The sequence below is a fragment of the Homo sapiens genome, chromosome 6, assembly GCF_000001405.40.
Source record: "Homo sapiens chromosome 6, GRCh38.p14 Primary Assembly".
Classification (NCBI taxonomy): Eukaryota; Metazoa; Chordata; class Mammalia; order Primates; family Hominidae; genus Homo; species Homo sapiens.
This window is the reverse complement of record NC_000006.12, coordinates 53,642,101-53,666,684: the sequence shown is the minus strand read 5'-3', so window position 1 is coordinate 53,666,684 and position 24,584 is coordinate 53,642,101. Positions and strand designations below refer to the sequence as shown.

The following is a 24,584-nucleotide window of genomic DNA, read 5'->3' as shown; positions in this document are numbered from 1 at the left end:
AGTGCCAAGATAGCAAAGTGATGCTTAACACATCATCTGACTAATGAAGAATAATTAGAACATTTATTTTCCATGATCTATTTTTCTATTATTGTAGCTTAATATCATGTTAACTTTTTAAGCAACCATTTCACACTCTTGGTGCCCATTAAAATTTGTAGTCAATTATAATCATTGAATTTTTTTTCTCATGAAGTGTTGCCAAAGTAGATATTTCCCAACCTGCATGTGTGCTAGAGTGTGTGTTAATCTCAGACCTCTCTGTGATCACTGGAAAATCGCTGGCCATAAACCTCACTTTATTAAACTCTAAAATGAGCCTAATAATGTTAGAACCACATGTGAGGTGCTGTAGAAAGTACCATATCTGGTAGATACGTGCTCCTCTTATAAAGAATAGGCTATTTATAACCACTATCTTCTCAAAAGACCGTAGGTGACCAGGCTAATTACCTTTCCAAAAACTAATTTTTAATCCACAGCCTTCCCTTCTCCTTACTCTACTAGAATCCCTGCTTCCAACAATTAAACATCCATCGAATTAATTTTCTTTCCTCTCACACAGGTTGATTGAGCTCTTGACTTTCTTTCTTTCTTTCTTTCTTTCTCTTTCTTTCTTTCCTTCCTTCCTTCCTTCCTTCCTTCCTTCCTTCCTTCCTTCCTTCTTTCTTTCTTTCTTTCTTTCTTTCTTTCTTTCTTTCTTTCCTTCTTTCTTTCTTTTCTTTTCTTTTCTTTTCTTTTTCATTTTGAGCAGCTGGTCAGTTCAAGAAACCCAACCCCTCTCCACCAACCGGAGCCCCGCCCCCTGCCCCCGGCTGGCTGGAGAGTTGAAGGCCAAAGACGGAGAGGAGGGCGCTCGCTGCTCTGCTCCCGGGCCAAAGCGCAGGCTCGGCCTGCCTTATCCAGTGGGACGGCAAAGGGTCACTCTAAAAATTGCTGCAGCCGGGTCTTGTCAGGTGGCTGCTGGTGGCTCCCCACCGGATTTTCCTTCTCCCTCTCTCTATCTCCACAGATCCCTTCCCAAGAGGAGTCTCCTGCTAAAACTTCATCATCTCAAGTTGACCTGCCACTTCACCCAAGGAGGGTAAGGAGCTGGGACCAGAGTCGCCAATTCCTGCCTTCTAGATCCTGGGGTGTGTGTGGATGTGTGGGTGGGAGAGGGTGGGCTGAGTGTTTGTGGTTGTAGAGCTATTTTACTGAAGGGAGTCTACAGCTGGGTCAGGTGGTTCATGTCCCTAATCTGAAGTTGGGAGACAGAAAACATTTTTTTGAAATCTGAGAAATGTAACGTGTTAGGAGAACTTCACGGTAACAAAATGCATGACAATGATGCCCTACAAATGTAAAACCACCTGTAATTTCTAACAAAAATTCTAAATCTCTAAAGCTTAAGATATATTTTTCTTTCACTACTTTATAGAGAAGGAGAAGGAGAGAAAATTCTTAGGCTTTGTTCACAAAGTTTAGAATTCTACCTTTATTTTTATCAAGAATCATTTTAACATTTGTTACTGATCAGTTTGGATGAAATGTTACCAGTTTTAACTAAATCTGTAGCACAAAACTCAGACAACTCTGAATTCCCAGAAATATAACCTATTGATGAAATGGAAATATCCTTCCTAAAAAAAAAAAAAAATTTGTTATTTGGCTAAAAAATAGGTTTTTGTCTTAAATGTGCACATATCATTATGCTGACATATATTTTATATTAAAAATCATGTTGGAAGTGTAATGGTGAAGTGGAAACCACCCCCCTACACCCCACCCCGAGGTTGGACTTAAAATGGCAAGCCACAGAAGCCAGGAGGGTTTCTATTCCTGGAGGTAGGGCTGATGAGCCCCGACAGATGCAGCGATAGGAATGTGGCCAGGACAGGGAGCAGGCGCAGCTGATTCGCCCCTTTGGCAAAAAGACATTCTGGGATCCCAGTTCATACTGGCATGAGAGTGACAGTGACACTTTAGCACACATGGCTTTCCAGTTTACCCTGTTGTGGACTCCCAGGAAGCATGGGTGCAGGGCAGTGGGAAGGAAAATGTTCTCAAATATGAAGTAACAACTCTTTTCTATAACCAGTTCTGGGGGTCTTCATCTGGGATCAGCTGGGGCCAGGAAGAATTTAAGTGCAATACTTTCACATGGACTTGCCCACTTACAGACAAGGGTCCAATTATGTACCATTGCTTGGCAGCATTATTCTCAGTCCAGTCATTTTGGATCTATTTCGGGTTATGGATCTCATGAAAACGCTGAGCCCAGTGTGTGGAAAGTACACATAAACATATGCACACAGTATGTTTCAGACTATTCCGCAGGACTCATGGACTCACCTGATACCCAGCCCTGATCAGGAATGCCAGATACAAGTCAGGTCATCCAGCTACATTTGAATTTCAGGTAAGCTACAAATCAACTTTTAGCATAAGTATGTCCTCAACACTGCCTGGGACATACTTATACTAAAGTATGATTCATAGTTTATCTGAAATGCAAATGCAACTTGACATCTTGTATTTTTATTTGCTAAATCTAGCTGTTCAGACCCAGACATATAGATCCCATGTAAAGAAACCTTGTCTCAGTTCGTTCATCCCTATCTGATAATGAGTAGATTCTAAAGATATGGAAGGCCATATTACAGGGAGATTTAATGTAGGAACAGATTTTGACAATTCTGACAGCAAAAGTCAGCTGTGTATTCATAACTGTCTGCAAAATTATAGAAGCAAAAGTAATGCATCTCCTTGTTTGACAGTTGATTATACTGAAATCCTGATAGGTTGGACGTTCTGCTATAGGTCTATCAAGTGGTTAGAGCAGAATGAACACCGAAACCCAATTTTCAGTTCTATGATAATCAAAAAGGCATCAGTCTTAAAACTCAATTTCTAACCTCCTCTCCCTCCAACACACAAAATACTAGGAAAGAAAAAGAGCCAGTTTACTAAAGTTTTCAACAAAACCCAAACAAAAACTTTGTACTGTGTCCTTGTGTCCTATATACAGCCTTAGAGAATAGAATTGTAGTTAACTTAGTGCATAGAGTCTGTATACTTTATAGATAAAAGTTAGGCACAGCCTCTAGCTAAGTTGAACCATATGAGATTGAAAGTATTTGCTTTTAAACAAAAAATGATAATTTCATATTCAATCTAATACTTCTAAAGGAAGTGCTTGATTATCTGATAAACAGATTCATGCAAGCCCTCCTTGTCCCTATTTATTTGGCTTACCTAACCTATTGGATTTTCACATTCTTACTACCCTTAATAGGATAAAGAAATCCACAGGATCGATGTGTCCCCAAACAAATTTATTTTACATTCAAAAAGGTAACTCTTTTATTCTAGTATTTGGAACCAGAACGAACCATTTCATGTTCTCCATATCAAAATTTTAAATTTATAAACACCAGCTATACCTTGCACTGTCTCTATCTTCCCATGTTAGAAAAAGCTAACTTTTAACCTACTACAGTTTTTACCCTACCCTGGATTTAAAGAAGACAATATAGGGGCCCAGGGTTTCCATGGGTTTGAATTTTGCCCCAGCACACACTGCACACTTACTTATGTGATATTGGACAAGTTTTTTTTACTCTTTCTGATTCTTAATTTCTTCATTTGTAAAATGAACATAATATAACCTACCTTTTAGGATATCTGTAATATTTAAATTTAAAAACTAAAATGATGTAAAGTGCTTAACCCAGGGCCCAGCACATAGTACACCCTCGATCAATAAATGCTAGCTATATAGCTGTTTTTTAGGTGAAAATGGAGCTATCCATTCACATTAAATACATAAAACAGTTTCCTGCTTGGTGATGTATATTTAAGAATTAATATACTTAAATTTGGCAAATACAAAAGATGAGGAAAAATGTAATGATTTACGTAATTCTGCCCAGCTGCTTATCAGGTGTTGAATACATGGCACTAGAAATGGCCCAAGAGCCAGGATCTGCAGTAGGCATGGGGAGGGGAGTGTGCAATTGCATCTCTGTTACCCTTCTGCCCAGTTTCTAATGGGCAGCTCTTCCAGGGTAGTCAAGAGGTTGCTCTACGTGATAGCAGATACAGCAGAGGGAGAGGAGGCTGTGGAGTCCATAGCCAGGGAAGGTGAATGCTCTGGGCTTCCTCCACAGAAAGAAAGGATAGCTCCAGTAGCATAGGGACCCTTCTACAACCCTCTGCATCCTGTGCAAAGTCTTTTCTTTGACCCAAAAAGGGAAGGGACTGGCAGTGCTTCCAAATAGCTGTTCATCCCATTACACAACCTCAGCTGCTCTGGCTAAACCTGCTCCTCCTTCCAGAATTCCTACTGGCAGGAACAGTGTGAAAAGTGCAAGCCACCAACAGTCCTGGCGGAAGCTTGTAAAGTTCTTCCTTCCTTTGATCCCAAAAGGTAACATATTAGAGCCCCCCTTAGGCAGCCAGGGAGAACCAAGCCTGCTGTCATTTAGGAAAAATGGAGAAATGGCCTTCACACTCTCCTAGCCACTGGCAGCTTAACAAAGATGCATGCCTGGCCATGCAGACCATAACCTGAGTCAAAGCCCTCCCTAGGGTATACTAATCATATCCTGGCTGATGGCCCTGGCTACTGAGCTTGGACCCTGGCTACCAAGCTTGGGGATGCCCTGAGCAGCTGACAATAAGACCTTCACTCCGTTAAAAAGAAAAAAGAGAGAGAGAGCTTTAAAAAAAAAGAGAGAGTAAGTAAAACCCTCATCCAACTTTGCAAAGTTAAAATATCAATTGAATCAAAAAGAATGGAATGTTTTCAAAATGTATTGCTCAGCATGTAGGTTATACTCTATATATGAACACACACATGTAACTCATTTTCGTAACACCTCTTCCTCACAGCCACATTTTGACTGTCACTGTGACTATCATTGATGATGACCTAGAAGTGCACAGTGAACATTTGTATCATCGTAGAATAAAACAGTGAGAGTTCCTGTATGAATTGCTCTGACTACATGTTAATATGTGACCTGGTTACTGGATAATATGGTTTTAAAAATACTCAGATTTTCCAGCCATCTTCTATTAGCCCATACCATCAGCCTTGAAGCCCAGCACTATGACCAAATTAGTAAATTGAAGTGAATTAAATTGTTCCACTTTCCTTTCCTGTACATATATATTACTTTGCTGGCCTTTTATGACTTCTTTCCTTAAAGATTGCCCTTGCTCTTAACTTAAACATGATTGTGGAAAACTCATGGTTGGTCAAGTGGCATGCTGTGTGTCTGGGTGGGTGTGTGTTTGTTTGCACCCAGTGTGATGTACCTTGTGTCTGTACCCAGAAAGGCTCCAATGTGAGAGGCCGGGAGAGTTTGTTGAAGCCTTTCCTGTATGCCCCATGACAACATAGCCTCTGGGTTCTGATCCCCCATAAAGAGGGAGCTAGTCTTTTCTGTAACAGGGCCTGGAGCATAAGATGTGGCTTATTGATTCTTACTAGACTACGGTTCTCCTTAAGTTGAGAAAAGCAGTGGCTTTCGGTGATGCAGGAGCAGTGCCACAGGCAGAGCATTTATTAGGACATAGGAACAAATGAACAACTCTGCAGCCCTGAAGTCAACATCAGAGCTTTGTTCAGCTTCAAAGCAATGATCCTGATCCCCAGGTTCCTCTGAAGGATCTGCAGCAGTGTCCTTATTGGAGGAACATGGCACAGACTGAGAACACTTGGGTGGGTAGATGGACAGCCTTACCTATGAGTTGCAGACCCGGCAATGAGATATCATGGTAGCTCTAAAGAAAGACTGAATTTATGAGTTTACATAGGAAAATTCGGCCACAAGAAAGTTGTTTGCAGGCTTTGATTTCAACGGTTTCTTTTCTTTTCTTGAGACAGAGTCTCGCTTTGTTGCCCAGGCTGGAGGGCAGTGGTGCAATATCAGCTCACTGCAACCTCTGTTGTCTCCCGGGTTCAAGTGATTCTCCTGCCTCAGCCTCCTGAGTAGCTGGGATTACAGGTGCATGCCACCACATCCAGCTAATTTTTGTATTTTTGGTAGAGACAGGGTTTCGCCATGTTGGCCAGGCTGGTCTTGAACTCCTGGCCTCAAGTGATCCACCCGCCTCGGCCTCCCAAAGTGCTGGGATTACAGGAGTGAGCCATGGCACCCAGCCTGACTTCAAGTTTCTTAAATGGTCTCCTGCCTGTTCCTCTCCTTCTCCTCATTTTGGAGAGAGCTAAATAAGCCAGTTACCTCTAAAGAGTGATTTCACAGGCTTTAAAAGCCTTCTTTTCATTAAAAAAATATATAAATACATAAGTGTTTGCACATGTGTATCTATCTATAAGTTTTCAGTAATGTTATAGATTACCTGAACAACATTATCAATTGCCCTGATTTAATTGATATTTATAGAACATTACACCCAACAACTGCAGAATACAAATTCTTCTGAAATGCACATGGTATATTCAGCAAGTCAGTATATATATACATATATATAAATATATGTATTCTACAAAGGCTACTCTGATAGAAATTTGTATGTGAATTATAGAAGGACACTTATTTACAAAACAGAAACCATGCATATCCGGGAAAAAGAGTAGATCTGCCCATTAACTGGTTAGCTCGGATTCATTTGTCAGACTAGCTAATGTATCACCCAGAGGGGTCTTACAGAAATAGGACAAGCGCAAGAGACTATAAAGAAAAAGAAGGGCATGGAAGTTCCCATGGGTGGAACAGGCCAGGGCTGAGTCAACAGTGGGAACACCAGGAGCAGCATGAAGGTCAGGCAATGGAGGAAAGAGAAGCCATCAATAGGAAGTAAGAGAAAGAAAATGGAGAGAGAGAGCTTTTACTGATTTCACTATTTCATCTAGCCTCAAGTTGCACTCTCTCTTCCTGGAGATTTCTTAGTCCTTCTAGACTGCATATGAATTTATCAGGTTCAAGCCTTCCTGGCATCCAACCTCCTGTATGTATTGACCGAATATTACCTGCCCAACTGTCTCCCTCATGACCTCAGCCATCTCTGAATGCATGTGACAGGCTGAGTCACACCTCCTTGCTTCAACTTGAAACATTTCCTCTACTTCTAATAACCTTCTCCCTCCTATACATGCTGCTATTTAAGACCCTTCAGTTACCAAGACCCAACAAGATTCATGTTATCTGCAAAACCTCCCATTCTAACACCACCCCACCACAATAGTCCTTTTTATTTGAATCCTTAAATCCAGACACACAATCTGTTCCATGTACTCTTGTTTTGCTCACCTAACCTATAACCAAATGCCCCAAGTTTTCTGAACTTTCGGGGTTAGCCCTACCTATCAAAATAAAAATAATCTGTTTCTCAGGCTGTGTATTTGTATGTATTTCTTTTCTCTCCCTGGTGTTTTTTAAAAATCTCATAGAAATATTTACACATTCCAGAAATCTTCCCTTTGTTGCTGTTTGCCACTTCTTTTCTGAGTCACTATGTGACTGTCCCATATTGCCTCCTGCACCTCATGACTGTTTGTCCATGATGTGGTGGCTTTCTCTGATTCACTTCATTCTAAAGCTTAAACAGGCTCCTTTCTCTATTCCCAAAGACAACTAACAAAGGCTATTGCTTGTCATGAAAATGGTTCAAATTTTTTTGAATATTCACTTTTTGTCAGGTGCTCTGCAAAATGCTGTTACAGGCTCCTCATTAGACTTCACTGACAAACCTAGAGGCAGGCACTATTATTATCTTCTCTTAAGAAATAAGTTGATGGAGACTGTAAGAGGCTAGGTAATCTACCAAAAGTCACACGGTAGATAAGTAGTAAAATTGGTATTTATGTTATATTTTCATTGTCATCCTATTTGAAATATTATAAAAATTTCTCCTGTGATTTCTTTTTTGACTCATGGATAATTGAAAAGGAAACTGTTTAATTTTCAAGTATTGAAAATTAAATGGCTTTCCTAGATAGCTTATTGTTATTAATTTCTAATTTAATTCTATTCGGATCACAAAGTATGCTGAAATACTAAGATCCCTCTCTAAATATTATATGTATATCAAACAAATTGAAATAGTCAAATAGCTACTGCCCTGAACTTCTCTGAGTCCCTCCCACCCTTCCACCCTCTCCTCGGTCTATTATCTAGTAACTGAAGAATTACACAGTGTACCTTAGGGGGACTGCTGGGACCCAGGTCCAGCACTGTGGCCTGAATCCATTCTGGTTAGTAGATATCCTGTTTTATCAGAAATTAATATTTTAAATATCACCCTTACATGCTACTTATGAAACAACATCTTAATGATGGATAACAGAGTATTTAGAATTTCAGTCTGAGGCACTCAGATTACTCCCCAGGCTCAGGATTTCCTCTAAAACAATAAGCATTTGCAAGCCCTGTATCTACATGAATAAAAAAAAATGGCCACAGGAGTTCTTCCAGGAACACAGACAGGACTTTCCCCCCAAAATTTTCTCTGCTGTGCTAACCTAGCTCCTTATTGATATTTTGCATTTGCCATGTCTTGTGTCTCTAATATAAATTACATCTTGTACTGCTCCATCATTCCCAGCACTGGGCTGCCCACACCAAGATGGATATCTGATAACTGCTTGCTGACAAATATTCAAAAGTTTCTCCCAGAAAATCCAACAAAGAGACACTCAACACATAAGCTAATGCATTTGAGCATTAAAATGATAGAGGGTTCATAATCTATTTTCACAAGGTAAGGATGCATTTTGCATTGTTTGCAAAAAAAGAATGAGAAGAAGGATGTATGTGCTACAGCCTTGTAAAAAATATAAATGTGAATATGATAATTGGAGCTTAAAGAGGAAAACAAAAGCACTGGAAAAGAATTAGACCATCTCTATTTTCTGCCTACCTGCTACTCTTCTTCTGCATGGATAGGAACAGGAGCAAATACAATAGAAGGGCTACAAAATTACTTTAACACATACACCACCCATCAAATTGAAAACCCTTCAAGGAGAGCCAAAGCTGAGTTTTACCCCTCAGGATGAAATTACAATGGGATTTAAAACACACACACACACACACACACACACACACACACACACACACACAAAACAAAAACAAAAAATTGTAAACCACCTAAATACATAAATGCTTATCAACAGGATAATAGTTGAACAATGTATGATATACCCTTACTATGCATTACTATGCACCGATTATAAGGAATGAGGTGGATTTATACATGTACTGCTATAGAAAGGTGTACATGAATTACTACTAGTGAAAAGAGAAAATTGTTGAATAATTAGCATAAACCTGTTTGATATAAGTTTTCTATAGTGTTATGTTGGAGCTGGCTTGCACTGGCTCACAAGAGCTGATTGATGAATTTTCAGAAATTTGGTAAACTAATTGTTAAGCAGTTGATAGCTTGAAATCAGTCATGATGAGAGTATTTGCACCAAAGAAATCATCAGATTAGGCTGGGCAAGGTGGCTCATGCCTGTAATCCTAGCACTTTGGGAGGCCAAGACAGGTGGATTGCTTGAGCCCAGGAGTTTGAGACCAGCCTGGGCAACATGGTGAAACCCATTCTTTTCAAAAAATACAAAAAAGGTAGACAGGCATAGATAGTGTCATGCACCTGTAGCCCCAGCTATTCAGGAGGCTGAGGTGGGAGGACTGCTTGAGTCCTGGAAGTCAAGGCTGCAGTGAACCAAAATCACACCACTACACTCTAGCCTGGGTGATAGAATGAGACCCGATCTCAAAAAAAAAAAAAAAAAAAGTTAAAAATACTTGTTTTCCCAGTCTGTTGCTTGCCTTTTAAGGAGTCAGTTTTGTTTCATGGCTTTTATTTTTCTATATTCTGATATTTCAGTCTTTTCTTTTATAGCTTCTGGATTTTGTGTCAGCTGAGAAGGGCCTTCCCTAACCTAAGTTATAAAAACAAAAACAAAAACAAGATCCCTAGCTTGTTCTGGTCTTATATAAGTTTGTGTATGTGTGTATGTTACTTAGATATTTAATTCATCTGGAAGTTATTTTAGTGAATATATAGAGTAGCAAATCAGTTGACCTAATGCTGCCATTACAAGTTCTTTCTCATTGATTTTTAAGTGCCACATTTATCTTAATATATATACTTACACACACATACACTATATAAATATATAAATATGCACACACATATATACTGTATATATCTACACACACATACACACATATACATATATGGGTTTCTACCCTTTATTTTGTTCTTCTGAATTTATAGGTTTCTACCTCTTATCTTATTCCACTGAATTTCTTTTTATTCCTGATCCAAAATTTTTAGTTCCTCTAATTTTTTGCATCTGGTAAGAATTCCTTTATTTTTAAACAAAATTCCTAGATGTTCTTTTATACTCACTCCCTCAGTTAAACTCTGAAATCATTTTATTAAGTTCCAAAAAGAAAAAATATCTTATAGAGGTAGCAACTAAAATTTCACTGAAATGACATCCATCTCTTCATACAGGAATGTAGAGTCCCTGTCTGTTAAATCCTCTGGCAAAATCCTATAGTACTTATATGTGTCTCACTAAATTAGAGTCAAGTATATATATCTCTTAAAATATAACAGGTTTCATTGCTACTGCAAATAAAATAATCTTTCCATAATATTTTCTACATTTCACATGTATTCCTGAATTTTAGTATTTTACTGAGGAAAATCTTCAGAGTGTTTATAATTCACTTTTTCATGACAGTAAACTAAGCCCTTTAAATGATATTTAACTACTATTCTACTATATAGCTCAATCAGAAAATGTTGGTTGGGTATAGTGGCTCACATCTGTAATCCCAACACTTTGGGAGGCTGAGGTGGGCAGATCACTTGAGGCCAGGAGTTCGAGACCAGTCTGGCCAACATGGTAAAAACCCATCTCTACCAAAAATACAAAAATTACCTGGGCATGGTGGTGCACACCTGTAGTCCCAGCTACTTGGGAGGCTGAGGCAGAAGAATAGCTTGAACCCGGGAGGCAGAGGTTGCAGTGAGCTGAGATCATGCCACTGCACTCCAGCCTGAGCGACAGATAGAGGCTCTGTCTCAAAAAAAAAAAAAAAGAAAAAAAGAAAAAAGAAAGAAAGAAAATGTGGTCACTTTTTCTATATAATTACTTGGCAATACAGTTATGGAGAGATTTCATTTGATAACATAAATCTTCCTAGAATTGTCTTCAATGCTTCATGCTGAAGTAAACTGTCTGTAAAATGTACATCTAGTTTAATATGTCTTTAAATCTATTTTAAAAATTAATCTATTTTATGCCATGAAAACTATTATCTTTTGAAAAAGTTTCTCAATGTAGTATTTCAAAGTCTAAAGCACAATTAAAACAAAACCATGTTTTTTTTTTTCTCTTTTTAGCAAGCTCTTGCCTGTAACAGTGTATTTGCCAACATGGCACCCAAAAAGAAGATTGTCAAAAAGAACAAAGGAGATATCAATGAGATGACTATAATCGTAGAAGATAGCCCCCTAAACAAACTGAATGCTTTGAATGGGCTCCTAGAGGGAGGCAATGGCCTTAGCTGCATTTCTTCTGAACTAACAGATGCTTCTTATGGCCCCAACCTCTTGGAAGGTTTAAGTAAAATGCGGCAGGAGAACTTCCTATGTGACTTAGTCATTGGTACCAAAACCAAATCCTTTGATGTTCATAAGTCAGTCATGGCTTCATGCAGTGAGTATTTTTACAACATCCTAAAAAAAGACCCGTCAATTCAGAGGGTGGATCTCAATGATATCTCACCACTAGGCCTGGCCACTGTCATTGCATATGCCTACACTGGAAAGCTCACTCTCTCCTTGTATACAATAGGAAGCATTATTTCTGCTGCTGTTTATCTTCAGATCCATACTCTTGTAAAGATGTGCAGTGATTTTCTGATACGGGAGATGAGTGTTGAGAATTGCATGTATGTTGTTAATATTGCTGAAACATACTCCCTAAAAAATGCAAAAGCAGCAGCCCAGAAATTTATTCGGGATAACTTCCTTGAATTTGCAGAATCGGATCAGTTTATGAAACTTACATTTGAACAAATTAATGAACTTCTTATAGATGATGACTTACAGTTGCCTTCTGAGATAGTAGCATTCCAGATTGCAATGAAATGGTTAGAATTTGACCAAAAGAGAGTAAAATACGCTGCAGATCTTTTGAGCAATATTCGCTTTGGTACCATCTCTGCACAAGACCTGGTCAATTATGTTCAATCCGTACCAAGAATGATGCAAGATGCTGATTGTCACAGACTTCTCGTAGATGCTATGAACTACCACTTGCTTCCATATCATCAAAACACATTGCAATCTAGGCGAACAAGAATCCGAGGTGGCTGCCGAGTCCTCGTCACTGTTGGGGGACGCCCAGGCCTTACTGAGAAGTCCCTTAGCAGAGACATCTTGTATAGAGACCCTGAAAATGGATGGAGCAAGCTTACGGAAATGCCAGCCAAAAGTTTTAATCAGTGTGTGGCTGTGATGGATGGATTTCTTTATGTAGCCGGTGGTGAAGACCAGAATGATGCAAGAAATCAAGCCAAGCATGCAGTCAGCAATTTCTGCAGGTACTTGATCTTTTATTAGGAACTGAAATGGCTCAATATTATAGGGAAATAGCCCTAACATAGAAGTAAATTAATCTTGCTTATTAACTTAGTCCATTGGCTTAGTAAATCAAAAATAATAATAATGCCACCTTACGTATGTTCAGCACTTTATATTATATAAAGTACATTCATTTATATTTTGCACTATAGATTTCTGAAACAAGCCTGTGAGGTGGGCGGGGAAGATATAATTATTCTGATTTTACATATGAGAAACCTGATACCTAGAGAAGTTATAACACCAGTAAGCGGCAATTCACATTTACTCACTTCTAGTTGGGTACTCTTCACAATACACTGACTTTTGATAGAAATTAGATACAAATTCAGTTTTTAACACTAAGTAGTAAGAAAGAATAGAATAATACAAAATGTATTTTAAGTGACTGCTACTGACAACTGTCAAATTCATAATTGGCAAATAGAATGAGATCATTAAAAATGTGGCAGCTAATTAATTTGAAATACTTATTTGAAAACCGAATAACAGAAAATGTGTCAGTATTTTTGATACATACAGAAAAGAGTAAAAGAGTAAAACACATCCTTCAGAAAAATGGAATTCAAATGCCATATTATTTTATATATTTATGATTAAAAATTAAACTTCCATTCATATGAAATGTTCAGAAAATCATGCTTATATCATGGTAGTAGTACAAAGTCAAACATAACTAATGAGCAAGATCTGAAAATTTGTGTAGTATTTCATGAAAAATATACTTTATTATTCCATTATGTGTGTATGCATTTTAAAGAACACAATTAACTGATTTTTAGTGTTTAATTTGTAACTATAGTTGAGTTTAATTTGGGAGTTAAATGGGACAAAGATGAACATCAGACTGAAGGAGTGAGTTCTGTATTTACAATACTTCTGAACTATGTCAACAGGAAAGCATCAGTTCACTATGCTTATTTTCCTCCTGCTGTAAAGACACCTTTTAGTACTCGAGTCGCTTTGTGAGGTATTGATTGCAGTGCTTATACATGGATAGTTCCGAGCACTGAAAAAAATATATATTTATCCCTAAACTAAAAAGTCTTCTCTACTGACAAGTGCTGGAAAATAGAAGAGTATCCAAAGTTAAGCCTTTGTTGATGCTTTTAGACAGTTCTATTGGTCTCAGTCTAACAGACAAGAGAAGACTTTGCTGAGTGGCTTGGCTTTACTGTCGCAATGGCCAAGAGAGGTGTAGGATTAAGGGGTTTGTGAGAAATGGAGAAATCCAGTCAGTCAATTCGTATCTTAAACTGTGACAGGGAGCTAGGAATGGTTGGCATCTGAGGATATGCAGAATTGACTTTAATATGGCGATGCCCTTCTCTGATCGCCACTCCTCTGATCGTCACAAATGCCCAGCCTCCCCCATGTGCACATCTCGTAAATCCCACTGGATGATAGATATTTGAATATGGAGGAAAGGGGGACTGAAAGCTCAGTCTCTGTGGGCTCTTCTCCAAGTGGCCCCATAAAGGGAGTGCTTATAAACGGAGGAGAGGCTTATAAACGGGGGCGAGGGGTGGTCAATGCCTGCTTTGTCTTTTCCAAGTGTCACACATTTTTACTGGCTGAGAGAGAAACTCCAGCCTCCAGGTGAGGTGCTGGGCCAGGTCCCTCGCCTCCTTGCAGGGGTAGTGTCAGGCTTCCCACTCATGATTTGCAAAGTAACATGGGGTCCCCAGCTGCCGCCGACAAAGCTGTTACACCTTCTCTATCATTTCCAGATACGATCCCCGCTTCAACACCTGGATACACCTGGCCAGCATGAACCAGAAGCGCACGCACTTCAGCCTGAGCGTGTTCAACGGGCTCGTGTACGCCGCGGGCGGCCGCAACGCAGAAGGAAGCCTGGCCTCGCTGGAGTGCTACGTGCCCTCCACCAATCAGTGGCAGCCGAAGACGCCCCTGGAGGTGGCGCGCTGCTGCCACGCTAGCGCGGTCGCCGACGGCCGCGTGCTGGTGACCGGAGGCTACATAGCCAACGCCTACTCGCGCTCTGTGTGCGCCTACGACCCGGCCAGCGACTCGTGGCAGGAGCTGCCGAACCTCAGCACACCCCGGGGCTGGCACTGCGCGGTCACGCTGAGCGACAGAGTGTACGTGATGGGCGGCAGCCAGCTGGGGCCGCGCGGGGAGCGCGTGGACGTGCTCACCGTGGAGTGCTACAGCCCCGCGACCGGCCAGTGGAGCTACGCGGCGCCGCTGCAGGTGGGAGTGAGCACTGCGGGCGTCTCGGCGCTGCATGGCCGCGCCTACCTGGTGGGGGGCTGGAACGAGGGCGAGAAGAAGTACAAGAAGTGCATCCAGTGCTTCAGCCCCGAGCTCAACGAGTGGACGGAGGACGACGAGCTACCCGAGGCCACTGTCGGCGTGTCCTGCTGCACCCTCTCGATGCCCAACAACGTGACTCGGGAATCCCGGGCCAGTTCGGTATCTTCTGTGCCAGTCAGTATCTGAGCCCAGGTAGATGCAGGGACGCAGGAAGAACACGTTATTTATTCGTAGAGCCACGTGGTTAACCTCTGAGTTCGCGAAAAGGAAAATATTTAACATTTACTACACTGATTGTATTGTAAAATATGTCGAGGCACATGTCCTGATGGCTTTAAATTCCTGGTATGGCATAATCTACCTCTTTTTTTTTTTTTTTTTTTTAGCAAAATACAGGGCAATGGCCAACAAAAGAAACAATTTATTTCAGCGGCCACTGGGTGGCAGACGGAATTCGTTATAGGCACTCTCCCAAGGCGGCATGTTTCCTAAATGTATAGCGGTTACACCCACATTTGAGATTTTTTCCTCTACACGTTAGTACACTTGAGGTTTATGTAAGTGATTTCATGTTCAAAAGTTTATTTTCCTCTCTCTCTTTTTTCTTTAGGAAGTTGAAGATATTCATATAGATTTTATTTATTTAAAAATGGAAATTGTCGATCTCCATAAAGACTTAAGATTTAATTCTGTATTTCAACGCAATTTTCCCCCCATATGTGATTGAGTAAAGGATTTTGAAAGATATCCCATGACAACGTAATAAAGCTTAAAACAAGATCTGACCGAAAAGGAATAGGGATTCCACCCAGGGACCCTAAATTTGATAACCTTTGTGTTAGCGGACATTCCTCTTCCTCCATGCCTCAGGCCCCAGTTTATTTTCTACCATAAAATCATGCTCTCAATGAAGTAATTGATATGAATCATTTAATTTATAGCATAAATTTAAGTCATTTGGTTGTTTCAACTAGAAGGATTTGCATTTTATCCCTTGTCCTCTATTAAAGAAGAATTTCACATACCCTGGGAGCCTTACCCTCACCCTAAAAACTACACCAACCTGGTTAAAGGCAACCTTGGCCCTAATGTACACCCCGCGAAGATCACCAAATAAAACTATGTCCCTAAGGACCATTAGCCTTAAGCTTAGAGAGCTTGAAGTTTACACAACCAATAACAATAATTTTATTTGCCCCAATCTTTTATATGATAAGAATGATAGAAACATTTGGAATTTGTAGATTTGGTAGTAACTGGATGAATGGGTTCTCCTGTTGATAAATGCCATTGTTTCCCATTTAATATGGATCCTCCTGATTTCTTAAGTAAAAATCAAGCACTCATCTCACGTATATAAAAATATATACTCATTCTGTCCTATTTTTATTAATCTCATCTGCTCCAAATGAGCTTTGGATTTATAATCAAAGTGTACCCACTTGATAGCACTTTTCCTATATGTTTGCCAAGTTTTGGGGAAAGGGAATGACTGTAGTAAATGATACATATTTTCCTTTTTTATAATTTATCACTTTATTCTTTGACAGTTTATTTGTTTTGGAGAGGAAGTGGCCTATCAATTATGGGTTATGTGCAATTGGATTTTGAAAAATAAAACAAGCTATTTAGGAATTGAACATGAGATATATGGAAATATAATTTGGTTTTTGTTAATCTCATCCTCTCCACCTTGTGTAGATAGGTTATTGCTAGTTATGATATTTATTTCTAAAATATGTTATTTGAACTGTGAAAAGTGGTTCATATAGTACACTTTGTGGAACAATTTTATATCATTACCCCGATGAAAAGTTCAATCTCTGGATATTTAATGATAACACTCAGGTAAGGGCTACAAACGCTGTAAATTAAGAACAAGATATTATTAATGTAAAAGCGCTGGGCTGTTTCCTTATCCCACACAAAGAATCTTTTACCTTGGTATATGTGGATATGGTATATTACCTTGGTGTATGTATATGTGTGTATACGCACACACTCATACAACTGAGAAGCCTATAGTATATGGTTAATTTTTGGAGAAAAGGGTGTTTTATTGTGGGTTACAGATCATAAGTGAGTGAATAGATGTAATTCCTTGATGCACACCAATAGATGTGTTCCCATTGACATCTTAGAAGTATTGTATGAAGAGGAGGACCTAGGGCTTGAAATGAAATGAGAATCAATCAATTGCAACATTACATGATGGAATAATGAGAAGAGATACTGAAACTAGAGGATTTTTCATCTATCAAAGCTTGATAAATTAGGTTGTGCAAAAACTTGGCAGTGGCTTTCTAGAGATGAAACTGGAGACATGTTAGTGCTGGATAAATCATTTAAAATTACCATTTAATTTATTTTCTACATTGTTTATCTGAAGACTCAGAAAATCCACATATTTGAGCTTACCAGACTCTTGGGTGCATTGCTGTTCTATCTTCTGCTTCAACAGTTAGGAAAATAAAGACCAATATGAATTTGGAATGTCAGAATTTCTGACATAACACATTGGCGAGGAGTATGGAATGTAAGGGTCGGTGAAAGTTTCATATCCTGGAACATCTTGCATTGCCAATTGAAAGACATAAAAGTATGCAGAATCAAAATAATATGTGTCCACTTTCATGTGTAAGTGAAACATATTCTTTACACCAACTATTGAAGCAGTTGCTCCTAGAAACCTAGTTTCTCCAGATTTCCCAAGTGGAAAATATTTAGTATGTTTTAAGCTTACATTCAATTACTCCAGAGTCTTAGGACCCAACCATATACTTCCTTTTATTTTTTATTAAAGAAAATGACTTGTTATTTTTGTAACGGCTGAGTCCTGTGATCAAATAAAAGCATCAGTTCAATATATCAGGGAAATTGCATGTTACCCAGCAACTGAAATAATAAAATTCAAGCTCTCTTTTTCTAAATGGGCCAGAGACCTGATGAGAAAGTCTCCAGGAAGCCAAACTTTAACATACTTTGTCCATTTTTAGTTAGGTTCTTGGTGCCAAGTTGTCATCCCTGATGCATTAGTTGCTTTCAGTGCATTGAATGAATTTTATTTTTACTTCCTATGTTGTAAGAATGGTTTTGAATAGAAGGTCAGTGATGGTACAGATTCGTATAATTTTAAAACATGATTAGATGGTAGTGAAGTGTTATGAGTGAGGAGGTATAATTGATGTCATGAGGAAGTGAGTACTGAATGGTTCTATGATTTAAGGTAAAGCAGCAGTTGTAGTAAGTGTATTTTACAAATACACATGTAAATAGAGGTTTACCTGGAAATATGTACGTTCTAAAAGGTCAATTTTTTAATTTTATTTTTTTGCTGGTTATCCTGGCCAAGTGTCTTCAGAACTCATCCAAGTTACGAGACGAAATAAACTAAAATCACCTCATTAATTTTTTTCCCTTAGTTACAACCAAATGAATTTATGTAATCTCTGAATGAACTACATCCCTATTCCAGCCGCTGATGAATATGTTCTCCAGCACAAGGCAGCATTAAAAGGAAATACTTTTCAGTATTTCTTTTCATGCCAAAAAACCTACAGAATAATTTTCCAAACAGTCCTTTATTCGTAATTATAAGAATTAAACAATCTAAAATATTAAAGATTTACCCTCCAGCACATTCACTGGGTAAAGACCATTTAATTTGCCCTCTCAGGGAATTTGAAATAAATTATTTGTCCTGGATATTCTTTAAAAACTTTTTATTTATTCAGCAAATTTTGGCAAAAAAATTTCTTTCTTTGCTTAAAACATTCTGGTACTATATAAGGAACAACAAACTAAAATGTATGTAGTGTTATTTTGTAATCTCATCACTATCAATAAAGCTGCATTCAATAAGACCTTAGTCAATGACTAAATATGGACAGTTTTGAAATATCCTTTCTCTGATGATTGGGGTGTTTGTTTTTTTCTCTACTTAGTTTTCGTGATGATTCACCTAGACAAAACAACAGCAAATGACAAGTAATTGAAAAAATGTTTCAACAGCTTGAAGACTAGTGAAAGAAAAAGGTATAAAACATCAGTAGAGACTTGCTTTGTAACTCAAAGAAAAGCCCAACTCTGGTCTAGCTCAGCCCCGACTATTTAGAAGTCGTAGGTTAAGTGTGGTTTCTCTTCCTGTTTCCACCCTGACCACAGCCAGCTTGTCACAGGTTCATCATCATTTGCAACAAAACGTTTTAGGAAATAAAATCGCATTGTTGTGTAGACAATCCCTTATAGCCTTTCTCTTCTACCTTACCCCTCCAAATGAGCAAGTAAAATGTAACCAACATAAGATGCTCAACCTTTGATCTAATGTAGTACTTAAATAATAACATTCAGTTGAGGCCATCAAATCTAGGAAATTCTAAATGGCAGCAATGCTTTTCTTAAACTTCTCCAAGCCCTGTAATCATATAAATAGACTAGATAGCCTCAAACACAAAACAACTGGTGCCACAGTCCAAATTTTGAGCAGACCAGCCAGATGCCTCAGAGTTTCTTTGCATTTTCTTTAAACTCCCACATTACTCCAAGCTTCCCTACAGATTTGTACAGCCTCCCACAACAATCTTGGGGATGTCTCCACTCTCAATTACAGTGGGAAACTAGGCAGGATCTTTTTTCGCTAGGCCAGGTATAGACATGATGTATGCCCTCTCCAGGCTTCAGCACTGTGCTGAATTCTGTCTACATCTCTTTGGCCAGAACAGCCATCTGGCCTACTTAGATGAAAGGGAGCTAAGAAAAAGGTCTTCATGTCCAGGAGGAAAAGTAAAGTTTTCATATAGCATTGTCTCTGCACAATGAATGGCTAGTCATCTTCATACCTGGTTACCAAAGGAGCAAAGAGCTTCCCAGTCAAACTGCCTCCCCTCAGCCACACTGCTCTGGCCCTGATCACACCATAACAATGCTCTTCTCTCCCTTTCCTGGGTCACAAGACATGTACTCAGCTCCCCTATTATACCTTGCCTTTTTTCTTCTGAAGAACAAGCCCAGACAACTCTTGTAGCCTTTTCTCAATTCAGTGCCCTTACAGGTCAAGAGCATGTATTAAATGTATTCTGCCAGCCTTGAGTGTTTGCACAAATCTGGTTCCCAACAGCCATCAAATAAACCCATTTAATGTTAAGAATTGCCCTCCTCACCCCTCCCTCCCTGGGTCTCCTTGTTCTTCTCTTTCTGGAATCGTCTTAATTCTTCTTGATCTAACCTCTTCTAAAAGAATGTTGAGTGAAAATGATACATCTGTGACTTAATTCCTGCCACTCTAGCCATACTAGCAGGTTCCCAATACATGACGATTTGGGGAGAAGAGAACACATGTAGAGTCTAAAAGAGGACATACACGCATCTGTTCTTAATCCCCATTAGCAGAAGAGTATTCCTGAAAGGAAGAGGGGGAAGGAAGCTAAATGGTGGTAATCTGTCTCTCAAGTTTTATTCTGCAATATTAATGAAACGTTTCCATTTTTTGCAGAGTTCCAAACTGAAAAATGCTTTATTTCATTACAATTCTGCATATAAGTAGCAAAGAAAATTCTGTATGCCAAAAGAATCCTTTGTTGTTTAACAAATGTTCATTAGACATAATTATTTCCCAGCCTCATGCCCCTGATCATATTCTGTCTTTCTCTGCCCTGCTCTGTGCTCCGTCCCCTAGGGACTACATCATCCAGACTCAGGCTCTTTGGCTGAACATTTTATTCATCCAACGGGAGGTATCAGAAGGAGGTCAGAGGGCAGAAGCAAGTGGTTGGGATATTTTTTTCTGCCCTCTTCAGGCTTCAGCACTGTGCTTCTGGCCTAGGCTGTAACTTTCAACAACTCCAGCCCAGTGGCCTTTCCTCCCTTGTTCAAATCTCGCCATGCTTACGTGCCATCATAGCTTACCATCTCTGGATATTTTCCTGTTGATTTATGTTCTGCCATCTCTTTTAGAATATCATCCTTAAAGGTGAAAATTTTGTCTCGTTCACAGATGTACCTCCGGTGTCTAGAGTCATGCCTGGTGTATAGCAGGAGATCAATTTTTTGTGTGTGAAGTAAATAAGTGAATGAGTGAATGAAACAATAAAACCATCATGACCTACTGCTTGCTGATCTCTATTCCAATATTACTCATTTATTTAATCAGCAAATACTTATTAAGCATCTACTGCATGCAAAACACTTTCCCTTACCCCAGTAATCACTAGAGGGAAGCACATTAAAGTACACAACCATGATAACTAGGACTTTTCCAAACTTGCTGCAAGCCAAAAATTAAATTGTTAAGACACATTACAGGTGGAAGGAGTTATGCAACCAACACTTTCCATTTCTCAAAAAAAAAAAACTCAAAAGATTGATATCTCTATAGCTATGTCCCCATTAAAATTTTTTAAATTGCATGCATCTTCTCTATAATTGCCAATTCTTCAAAAACAGGTTAGGACTAGCTTCATCATTTAGCTAGTAAGCATTTATTCAGTGCTTACTAAGTACACACACACACACACATCATTTAAGTGTGAGTGTGTGCATATATACATATATTCTGCGTGTGTGTGTGTGTGTGTAAAATATATGGTCTTATGCTTGCATTCTGAAATTAAGAGCCATTATGATTACATCACCTTGTCTCATATGAGAGCTAAATAAGTTAATAGGTAAAGTTCATTTCTTTAAATACTTCTCATGGGCAGCCATGTTTTCAGAGACACGGGGAAACCTGAGAAGGTAGAGCCTACACACAGATACCCAGGGGCCTTTTTCTGACTCAAAAATGAGAGATAAACAGGGACTCCTGGAAGCAGAACCCTTGCAGCCCAATCCCTGGTGCCCTTCGGAACCCCAGACCAGTCTCCATTGAAGGTGTTTCATTTCCCTCATGGGTAAAAATACTGAGGACAAGTCACTCAATGCAGAGTCCTTGGAGATGGACAGTGAATCTCTGGGCCTGAGTCTTCCAGAGACACTTGGAGCGCAGTAGTCCATTCTCATGCTGCTAATAAAGACATAACTGGGACTGAGTAGTTTATAAAGGAAAGAGGTTTAATTGACTCACACAGTTCAGCATGGCTGGGGAGGCCTCAGGAAACTTACAACCATGGCTGAAGGGGAAGCAAGTACATCCTTCTTCACATGGCGGCAGCAACAAGAAGTGCTGAGCAAAAGGGGGAAAAGCCCCTTATAAAACCATCAGATCTCGTGAGAACTCACTCACTATCACCAGAACTGCCCCCATCATTCAACTACCTCCCACCGGATCCTTCCCCCGGGGATTATGGGAACTACAATTCAAGATGAGATTTGGGTGAGGACATAACCAAGCCATATCAAGGAGAGTGAGATATTGCATAAAGAAATAAGGGGTGGCAAATTCAGCTGAAAGAAGGACCGGCTCCTGCTTTGGAGGCACTCCACAGAGCCACATTTCTGAAGATGGTGAGGTGTAATGGAGACTGATCCTGGGACAGCTTTGGGAGCCTGCTGGAGATGGCAGGGCCACAAATGGACAAACGGAAAGAGTTACTATTGGAGGGGAGCCTCCCCATGTGGGACTGCTTGTTTTGAACAGGGACAAACTAGCTCCACCGAAAATCCATGAAATGTTAAGGCATTGCCAATTTCCATCATTCCCCCTGAATTCTTAAATTAAAATCCCACTTGATAAATTAGTGCCTTTGATGAAGCCATCCAGTCCTCTGCCCCTGCCTGCCGGCACTGACCAAATACAAAAGAAAGAGGGAGTCTTGAGGGGAAGGAGAGCCCTGTGACCTCTGCAGGAAGATCAGGGTTCCAGGCTGCAGAAGAAAACTTTAAATCAAGGGAAGAATGACCTTGCCCAGGGCTTTAGGCACATGGGTCCTCCGCTGCAGCATGTGCCACTGTCACTCCCTGACATGCGCTATGCAGAGAACAGGTATTACACAGCACTGCTTTGATGTCTCCCAGGTTTAATGTAGGGCCAAATAGGGCCTAGAGTGGCCAGAGCTCACAGGCTGGTTCCTCTGGCTGTGGCCGGCCTTTTCCATTTTTCCCTAATGCATTGTACAAACATTATCTCTTTCCATTTGTGCAGTGGGTAGAGCAAAGTTACAGAGCACTACTTTATAAAGCCTGGCCTCCCCCTCTCCCAGCCCCACTGATGCCTTTTGCTTAGTCACATGTTTGGGTCAAAGACAGAACACTCAGCAAGGTTCAGTGTGGTTGGCTGTGGCTCACAGAATACAGGCAACCAGGGGCAGAGCTGCAGTACTCATTAAAACCGTGGAGAGCTTGCTGACTGCCTCAAAAATCAGCAGTCCTGAGTATCTGTGCCGTGCTCTGCTAGTGTCTGAATGCTAGAGAGAGCACTCTACTCTTTTTAGACTTCCCAGAGATTCTAGTATCTGCTGCTATGACTGTTTTTTGTTTGTTTTGTTTGTTTGTGACAGGGTCTCACTCTGTCACCCAGGCTCAAGTGCAGTAGTGCTATCCTCTGCTGACTGTGTCCTCAACCTCCAGGCTCAACTGAACCTCCCAAGTAGTTGGGACTATAGGTACATGCCACCATGCCTGGACTGTGACTGTTTTTATAATAAAGACCCAACATACTTTAAGGAGGGGAAAAGAGCTGGCCAAACGATTTTCTGCCTGGGTCACAGAATATGGTAAAGTCAGGGAGAACATAGACTTGATTTCACCAGACTAAGAAGCCTTCAAGTCATTCTCAGTGAACGCCAATCCTCTGATGTTACAAGCGCTGTGTTGGGTAGCACTTGATGAGAATCTGAGTAAGTCCATCTCTTCACTTGAGGGGACAGTAGACCTTCACGACATAGAAAACCGAGACTAATAAGCTTTTATTTCATAAATGAGGATGGTGCACCTTAAAGGAAAGACACAGTCACTGGAAGATACAGCAAAATCACTCCAATCCCAAGTGACTGACACCACAAATACCTTAAAGGCGTCTCAGAAGAATGTAGAACAACTTTAGACAGCAATAATGGGTGATTTGGATGAAAATGCTCACCTTCGCGGAAGCCTAAAATGACATTCCCAAGAAGCTCTGAGATGAAAAGAAAGAGTTCAGGAATCAAAGAACAAGAATAAAATGCTAAAAAACTTAAAACACATGAATGAAACTGGTTGTAAATAATAAAGACAGCCAGTTAAAATCTCTGCCGGAAACTGTGCTGAAAACAATAAATTTGCCTGCTCTATTTAGGAGAGTACATGGATGACAGCAACTTGGAATGAGACAAAGACAGTGAATCAGAAAATGGAAACCACATAGACTATCAACCAGGACTCAGTGTGAAGAGACTCACTGATGCTGCTAACATAAATGTTTCCTCTAACAGGCTTGAAGGAGAAAAACAAGGTTATTTTTAAATTATGTGAAGAAAATAAAATGAAGAGCTTACAGATCTAATAAAAAGTCACCAAACTGAACATGTAGTCTGAAAATTCAGAGCTTAAAGGTGAGATTCAAATGCCTCAGGTGGGCCGGGCTCAGTGGCTCACACCTGTAATCCCAGCACTTCGGGAGGTCAAGGCGGGCGGATCACTTGAGGTCAGGAGTTCAAGACCAGCCTGGCCAACATGGTGAAACTCTGTCTTGACTAAAAATACAAAAATTAGCCAGGTGTGGTGGCGTGTGCCTGTAATCCCAGCTACTCAGAAGGCCGAGGCAAGAGAAT

At 39.9% G+C, this 24,584-nt stretch overlaps 1 protein-coding gene across 1 annotated transcript, besides 4 other annotated features; it reads left to right on the top strand.

Annotated features, from left to right (window-relative positions):
• The first annotated feature begins 928 nt into the window (after positions 1–928).
• Positions 929–18,769, top strand: KLHL31 (kelch like family member 31). Its single transcript, NM_001003760.5, has 3 exons — positions 929–1,084; positions 11,380–12,584; positions 14,355–18,769. Exons 2-3 carry the CDS (start codon positions 11,413–11,415, stop codon positions 15,085–15,087), a joined length of 1,905 nt encoding a protein of 634 aa, NP_001003760.2. The 5' UTR covers positions 929–1,084; positions 11,380–11,412; the 3' UTR covers positions 15,088–18,769.
• Positions 14,579–14,798: an enhancer, noted in NCBI's record as "active region_24700". NCBI's record gives its function as "activates an Ori minimal core promoter by ATAC-STARR-seq in GM12878 lymphoblastoid cells {active_cell/tissue: GM12878}" and the evidence as "EXISTENCE:reporter gene assay evidence [ECO:0000049][PMID:35858748]".
• Positions 14,829–14,888: an enhancer, noted in NCBI's record as "active region_24699". NCBI's record gives its function as "activates an Ori minimal core promoter by ATAC-STARR-seq in GM12878 lymphoblastoid cells {active_cell/tissue: GM12878}" and the evidence as "EXISTENCE:reporter gene assay evidence [ECO:0000049][PMID:35858748]".
• Positions 15,260–15,554: a silencer, noted in NCBI's record as "tiled region #14005; HepG2 Repressive non-DNase unmatched - State 1:Tss". NCBI's record gives its function as "represses a minimal TATA promoter and a strong SV40 promoter by Sharpr-MPRA in HepG2 cells {active_cell/tissue: HepG2}" and the evidence as "EXISTENCE:reporter gene assay evidence [ECO:0000049][PMID:27701403]".
• Positions 22,920–23,214: an enhancer, noted in NCBI's record as "tiled region #10125; HepG2 Activating DNase matched - State 5:Enh, and K562 Activating non-DNase unmatched - State 21:Repr". NCBI's record gives its function as "activates a minimal TATA promoter and a strong SV40 promoter by Sharpr-MPRA in HepG2 and K562 cells {active_cell/tissue: HepG2 | K562}" and the evidence as "EXISTENCE:reporter gene assay evidence [ECO:0000049][PMID:27701403]".

What these genes read in the sequence shown, in the direction of transcription:
- KLHL31 (NM_001003760.5), top strand. Translation starts at nt 11,413, where the DNA reads ATGGCACCCAAAAAGAAGATTGTCAAAAAGAACAAAGGAGATATCAAT. An exon ending in GCAGTCAGCAATTTCTGCAG is followed by an intron (nt 12,585 to 14,354) that starts GTACTTGATCTT and finishes TATCATTTCCAG; the next exon opens with ATACGATCCCCGCTTCAACA.